General features: G+C 47.2%; 1 annotated feature.

Annotated features, from left to right (window-relative positions):
• Positions 6,409–7,609: an enhancer, noted in NCBI's record as "BRD4-independent group 4 enhancer chr8:2206168-2207367 (GRCh37/hg19 assembly coordinates), duplicate 2 on the GRCh38 assembly". NCBI's record gives its function as "activates an origin of replication core promoter dependent on BRD2, P300/CBP, MED14 and CDK7 cofactors, and independent of BRD4, by STARR-seq in HCT116 cells {active_cell/tissue: HCT116}" and the evidence as "EXISTENCE:reporter gene assay evidence [ECO:0000049][PMID:35650434]".

The following is a 7,609-nucleotide window of genomic DNA, read 5'->3' on the forward strand; positions in this document are numbered from 1 at the left end:
ATTAAGTGTATTTTATATTTAAGAATATTGCATCTGATTCTTAAAGTGGCTAGCACTATGGAAATATTAAGAAGAGAGCTTGGCTGAGGGCTCAATATTAAATATCAGGGTTATCTGCAGGAGACAGGCAAAGGGAGAGAAGCTATTCCAAATGTCCTCTTACCCAGAAGACTTCAAATGTCCTCCTACACAAAAGACTCCAAATGGCCTCTTACCCAGAAGACTCCAAATGTCCTCCTACCCAGAAGACTCCAAATGTCCTCTTACCCAGAAGATTCCAAATGTCTTCCTACCTGGAAGACTCCAAGTATCCTCCTACTGAGACCGTTTTATTCTTTCTCAATTATCTCTGACCACTGCAAACTCTTCAAGGAGCTGATCAATACAAATGCCTTCAGAAGCTTCAGGGTGGAGTACACCACGACTTCACCACACATTTAAAAGGAAGCCATTAGGATAAGAATTAATCTACTTGAACTTTTTTATTCAGCCTAATTCTCAGAAATTTATATTCACCATGAGATTTGTAAAATACTTATAAGCAGCATGCAGAATGTGTACAATTACACCCTATGTGTGGCTCTGATCAAGGGCGAGCGTGCAGGAGAGTGGCCATAGCAAAGTCTTAGAAAATCACAATCTCCACGTTTGCTCCTTATCCCCACCCCTAGGTACACTTCTTCTTTGAATCCTCTTTTCCTAAGGAAAGATGTTAAATTCCACAATTAAGTCATTCCCATTAAGCTGTAGAATCATTAAGTAGAGTTCAAGTTAATCTTTTGTCTCTATGTTGAGGCATAGAACAGGGAACGTTTCATTCTTTGGGAACAATAATAATTATACGTTAAACATTTTTAAATAGGATATATTGTATTGACTCACAATGCATGATCAGATTTTTAAAAATTATTTCTCTCTGAGAGAAAAGAACTTTAAGCCTCCCAAGAGTTAATCAATTCATACACGTAAACTGCAGCGTGCTAATTCTCCATGGCGATCCCTCTGTCTTCCTGTCTCCCCCTCACTCTTTCTCACTCTGTCTCCCTCCCTCCACACCTCACCCCTAGACTCTTGCTACCCAAGGCAGAGCATGCAGCAGCAGCAGTAGCATCACCTAGGAGCAGGTGAGTTGGAAATACAGATTCTCAAGCCCCACCCAAACTTGCTGAATCCGAGCACGCATTTGGCAAGGCCCGCAGAGGATTTTCGTGGGCATTACTATTTAAGAAGCAGTGTTGTAGACTACATATTTTTCACCCTTTTGCTAGGTCCCGAGCTACCCACAATCTGCAAAATCAAAGGGGAGACGGCGGCGGACGTGCAGAGCCTCCGAGAGCCGGGTGAGGGCGCTGTCCCCGCGTCTGAGGCTTCCTGGAGCTGAAGCCAGTGGTTTCCACCCCCGAGGTGCCACCGTTTCCGGCCCAGGAACGCTGAGACCTTCGCGCTCCCCTCGCGTCACAGCCAAGTGTAACTGTAAGAAGCAGTGAGTCCGGAAACGAACAGCCAGGCCTTGGAAGCCTCTCGCATGTGTGGGAACGTCCGCCTTTGCTACAGGCGTGATTTTTCATGTGACTCAGTACAAGGGAGGGGACACGCGACATCCCTTAATCCTTCACTAAACCCAAAGTTAGGGTTCTTGCCTGTAGATTTCCACAGAATATAGCACCAAGAACGTTCTCTATGTCTGGATGGAGGACAATGTCATCAGCGGGCCACTGGGACCACCTCAGCCCCAGGCAAGGCCCAAGCCTGCCTGCTCCAGCCGCCCGTGGTCCTCCGCAGCCAGGACCTGCTTTCTGGGCTGGCTTCACCCCCCACCACTTCCACAGCCCAGCGGTGCCCTCCAGGCTCCACCGTCACATCGCATGTGTGTTCCCTGCGCTGCTGAGGGACAGCTCACTGGGTCTTCCTGTTTCAAATTCTTGGGGACTCTGTACTTGAGGCTGGGGGTGCCAGCAGCTGAGGAGGGGAGGGCTTTCCGAAAGCCCGTCTGCCTGGAGGCTGTCTGCGTGTCACTTCTGTGTCCGTGTGCATCCTCACAAGGACATTCATTTTTAAGTTTTCATGTTAGCTTCGTGCTGCGAAACTTATTATTTTGAAGAGAAAATATCTTAGATCCCTTATGAACTTTCGAGAAAACAGTCCTTATTCATAAATTTGCAAAAGTGTTCTGTGTGGATCTTTATATCACCTATCTATCATCTATCAGTCATCTATCTCTGCCTATCATTCATTTATCATCAACCTATCATCTATCTTCTGTCTGTTATCTATCTATGGATTATATATATATATATATATATATATATGTTTTGAGTTGAGTCTCACTCTGTTGCCCAGGCTGGAGAGTAATGGCGCGATCTCGGCTCACTGCAACCTCTACCTCCCGGGTTCAAGTGATTCTCCTGACTCAGCCTCCTGGGTAGCTGGGATTACAGGCATGCCATCATGCCCAGCTAATTTTTGTATTTTTAGTAGAGTCGGGGTTTCACCATGTTGCTCAGGCTGGTCTCAAACTCCTGACCTTGTGATCCGCCTGCCTCGGCCTCCCAAAGTGTTAGGATTACAGGCATGAGCCACCACGCCCAGCCTATCATCTGTTCTTATCTATCCTCTATCCATCTATCTTCCTATCTAATCAATATAGCTATTATTTATTCATCTATCATCTATGTATGTTCACCTCTCTGTCTCTCAACCAATCTATTTCTACATCTAGATCTACACATAGAGAGAGGAATCAGAAAAGTGTAAGCTTTAGAAATAGTATCTCCCAGCTGGGCGCCATGGCTCACACCTGTAATCCTAGCACTTTGGGAAGCTGAGGTGGGCAGATTACCTGAGGTCAGGAGTTCAAGACCAGCCTGGCCAACATAGTGAAACCCTGTCTCTACTAAAAATATATAAGTCAGCAGAACATGGTGGAGTGTGCCTGTCATCCCAGCTACCCGTGAGGCTGAGGCAGGAAAATCACTGGAACCTGGGAGGCAGAGGCTGCAATGCAGTGAGCCGAGATCATGCCCCTGTTCTCCAGCCTGGGTGATAGAGCAAGACTCCGTCTCAAAAAAATAAATAAATAAATAAAAATAAAGAAATAGTATCTCCCGTCTTTTGGTGTCTAAATGAAGGCTGCTTTTAGAAAGGGGTTGCAGTGTTTGTTCTGCTTGGTCCGCTTAGGGTTTTTTAACCCGGTCTTCTGCATTTCCAGTGGGACAGGAATGTTATAATGGGCTTGGTCCGCTTAGGGTTTTTTAACCCGGTCTTCTGCATTTCCAGTGGGACAGGAATGTTATAATGCTGAAAACCACCGGAGTTCAGTTTGTTTTACAGAGGAAAATAGAATGGGGAGGTTTCCCCAAAGTGTCCTTCTTTTCAAGATGATTGCTTGCCTATCATTTTATTCATATAATCTAAAAAGTTTTTAATCATGCCATTTCCTTCAGTGGGAAAATTAAGTTCCATAGATGTTTCTAGGATGTGGGCATAGAGTGATCCGAACGAGGAACTTTGTAAAGTTGGCATTTAATCTTCTGGTTATTTAATGGGACAGAGCCCCTGGCCCATGTGAGAGGAAAACACAGAGGGGGCAGGTGCCACATGATACCTCCCTGGCATGGCACATGAGCCGTCCAAATACCCCTGATAACAGGTGGGTCAGCCGTCAGCTAGCAGCCCCAGTGGAGCTTCTCAGACTTCCAGACATCGATGGGAATGGCTCAGCCACTGCCTCCAATTCACATCTGTTTCTTTTGCTAAAATAAAAAATCCTGCTTTACTTGTGCTTTAATCCTCCCTCTGAAGTTCTGTGTCATCCATGAAGCCTTCTCTGTTACTCTGGTCAGAATAAATCATGTCTCCTCTGCAAATCCCCCCAATTTCTCATCCCTGTCAGGCACACAACTTTCTGTCTGGCACCATTGCTAGCTGTTTCTGTGCTCCTCTCCTCTTCAACATGGCAAGTGTCTCGAATGCCGTCTGTGTCTAATTTATCTTTGTCTTCACAAGAGGCGCAGAAATGCTGCACATCCCAAGAAATGGTGCTGACTGGAGCCGAGTTGGGTTGTGCCTAATTGAATCCAATGGATATGCCGGGCAGAGGCTGCAGGGTCTATAGGGTCTCTGGGCGTTTCGAGGAGTCCTGTAGAAGAGCTTCTAGGACCAGAGAGAACCCCAGGGCTAACGCTCTCCCAGCTGAGTTTTCTGAGGATTGGAAAGGTTATGTGAGCACAGAAGGAAGCCCTGGTCCTCGCCTTCATGGAAGACCTCCCAAGCCTGGGCAGAGCCTTGTGGACACAGTCAGAGCAGCCCTGTGAACTACTCGTGCATCTTGCAAACGAGGCTCCCTGGGAGAGGAGCCCTGCGCTGCAGGTTGCTGCCTTTGGCACTGTCTTGCACTCCAGAGCCTGGGCTCCTCCCTGCAGGTGGGGACAGAGGCCATGTCCCCTGCAGGGTTCACTGCAGCCTCTGGGTGTCTACTCCTGTGGAGGTCTGCCTTCGCCCCATCTGGGCTGTCAGGATATGGAAGGCCACATGGAGGCCTCTCCATCACAGCACACCTGGACTTCCACGCAGGTTTGTCTCCCTGCTCTGGGCTCCTGGGTGCCGCTTTCCCGCAGAAGCCTGAACCTAACTGAAGGGCCATTGCAGTCATCCTCCTGCTCATTTCTAAGACATCTCAGGCCTCTACATTCCCTTCTGCCTCTTCTTTGTGCTCAGACATTTCCATAGAATAGCCATGTTGCCTGACTTCCATTTTCCAGGCAAGATATGCCCTATAATGCAGCAGCCAGTACAGGGTATGTTTTTTATTTAAAAGGAAATAATTCTTCTCGGGAGTAACTGCTCAACAGAGTAATGGAAGACAGATTTGTCATCTCACACAGCACAACATGCAGTGATACATGGCACAGGCCTAGCTCCCGGCCCTCGCTAATCCCATGTTGGTGCTCTTTGAATTCCTTTGTGTTCTGTACTTGCCTTAAGGAGGTTTTTAAACAATTTCTTTCTGAAGGCCAGGTACGGTGGCTCTCGCCTGTAATTCCAGTACTTTGGGAGGCTGAGGAGGGAGGACTGGTTGAGCCCAGGAGTTTGAGATCAGCCTGGGCAACTAAGAAAGACCCTGTCCTTACAAAAAATTTATGGGCATGGTGGTGCACACCTGTAGTCTCAGCTACTCGGGAGGCTGAGGCGGGAGGATTGCTTGAGCCTGAGAGGTCAAGGCTGCAGTTAGCTATGATAGCACCGCTGCACTCCAGAGCAAGACCCTGTCTCAAGAAGAAAAAAGAATTCTCTCTGGCTGAAATTTTCTTTCTCTCTATACACCCCTTTTTAGACAAAATGTTTTCAATTTATATATGCAATCTTCCAACTAGCCCTTGAATAACACATTATTCATAGCAAAGACACAGAGTACCTCGCTGGGAAACATGAATCATAAGATCAAAGTCACCAAATTCAGTACAGAGACTTGCTGGTCAGCAGGACAGGCCCACCAAATGGCAAATGCAAACACAGGATGGGAGAGAAGGGCACTGGCCCTCGCAACGCTGTGCGAGCAGAGCGTGGATGTGTCTGGTGGACTTAAAGATACGTGTACAGGCAAGAGAAAACCTCGTGGAAGAAATAGGTTCATCTTGAAGGTTAAAGCAGCTTCAGCTTCTCTGTCACTTCCTGGGCAGGAGGCCAGAGGATTTCTCCTAGGATAACAGTGGACTGTGGGTGGAGGCCTCTTTTCTCCTCCTGTGGGAGAGGAGTCAAGCCTCAGGTCAGCAGAAGGGAGATGTTTCTCCTGCGGGTTAGCTGCGCGCTCAAGCACCTAGTGTCCTGAGTTTCTTCAGGGGTTCCTGCTGCCAGCCTAACGTTCCTAAATAGAGCACTCTAGGTTTCTGGCATCAAGGCTATGTGATCAGGTGTGAGGCAGGTACAAGGTGCAGCTCATCAGTCTGGAACAGCTCCCCATTCTGGAACAGCTCCTCATCCTGGAATGGCTTCTCATTCTGAAATGATTCCCCATTCTGGAATGGCTTCCCACTCTGGAACAGCTCCCCATTCTGGAACAGCTTCCCACTCTGGAACAGCTCCTCATTCTGGAACAGCTTCTCATTCTGGAAAAGTTCCCCATGCTTGAACGGCTTCTCATTCTGGAACAGCTCCTCATTCTGTAACAGCTTCTCATTCTGGAATGGCTCCCCATTCTGGAAGGGCTCCCCATTCTGGAACAGCTCCCCATTCTGGAATGGTTCCTCATTCTGAAACAGCTCCTCATCCTGGAACAGCTCCTCATTCTGAAATGGCTACACACTCTGGAACATCTCCTCATTCTGGAATGGCTCCCCATTCTGGAACAGCTCATTCTGTCTGAAATGGCTCCTCATTTTGAAACAGCTCCTCATCTGGAACGTCCAGTTGCTTTGCATTTTCTTCTGACCTCCACTCCATACCCTCAGAGGCCATTGATCACAGTAAAAGCTGCACATCCTAGGTGGCTAAACCATGGAAAGATCACAAAGGTCTATTAGCGCCCTGTAGCAAAATGGGCCACACTACTGTCTGCAGTCAGAGTAGAATTCCTAAAACCCCACCAAATACTTCACCTTGAAAATGCATGCAGGGGACTGAAAGTGCAGTGGCTGAGCCCGCACACCTGCCTGGAGGAGCTGAGGAAGAAAATCAAATTGAGACTTAAAGGATGCTAAGATCTAGCATAGCCAATTTCAGGAGAGAATGCTAAGATCTATGGCAGCTGATTCCATGAGAGCATGCTAAGATCTAGGGTAGCCAATTCCATGACTGCACCTTTTGGACAAGAGGACATCTGATTTATTATGCCAAGAAAGGGCAATCAAGATGAGAGAGGTTTTGTAAGTCCAAAGCCAAAGAAAAAAAAAAAACTTAAGGGCTTTATTTTTGGAGATTTCTCCATTGCATTAAATTAAGCTCTCTATAGCCTGATAGAAAACTTACAATCAAATCCTCATAATAACAAAGGTGTCGATGCAGCTGGTTTGGAGATAGGTGTGGCTGTACAAGGAACAGGGCAGCAAGGAGAAAAGCCAAGGACATCTTGACTGACAGAGGGTCCAGGCGCACTCACCCGCACGCTCTCTGGGCCTCACACTTCCTCGGACTCTGGTCCACACCGCAATGAAAGGTAGGTAGTGCCAGGTCGTGGGAAAGGTGCTTGCTAACATCAGGCCGGTATTCTTGGGACAGTTCCAGGACTCAGGACAGAGCACCAGTAGTGCCTTCTCGGCTCTTCTGTTCCTCAGTCTTCTCGTCTGAGAAATGGGTGTAACAAGCCCTCTCTGCTCTTCCCTTGTAGGGTGTTTTGACTTGGGTTTAGACCAAATAAGGCAATTCCAGAGAAAGGGCTTTGAAATATCCGAAACTTTAAATCAATGTAATGTTTAAGCTGAGAAATTTTTGAATTGTATTCTTGAAGTCTCAGATGCAAAAGAGAAGCAAGAAGAATCCTAAAGTCCTTGAATTTTTCTTTTATTTGCAGGTTCTTGTATCGTGTGGTATAAAGCCCGAAATTCAGGTTGTGTTCACTGGGGCTTCTGGGCTAACAATTTGGACTAAATGAGAATCTATAGGAACTCTTGTCAGA

The sequence above is a fragment of the Homo sapiens genome, chromosome 8 (genome assembly GCF_000001405.40).
Source record: "Homo sapiens chromosome 8, GRCh38.p14 Primary Assembly".
NCBI classification, from domain to species: Eukaryota; Metazoa; Chordata; class Mammalia; order Primates; family Hominidae; genus Homo; species Homo sapiens.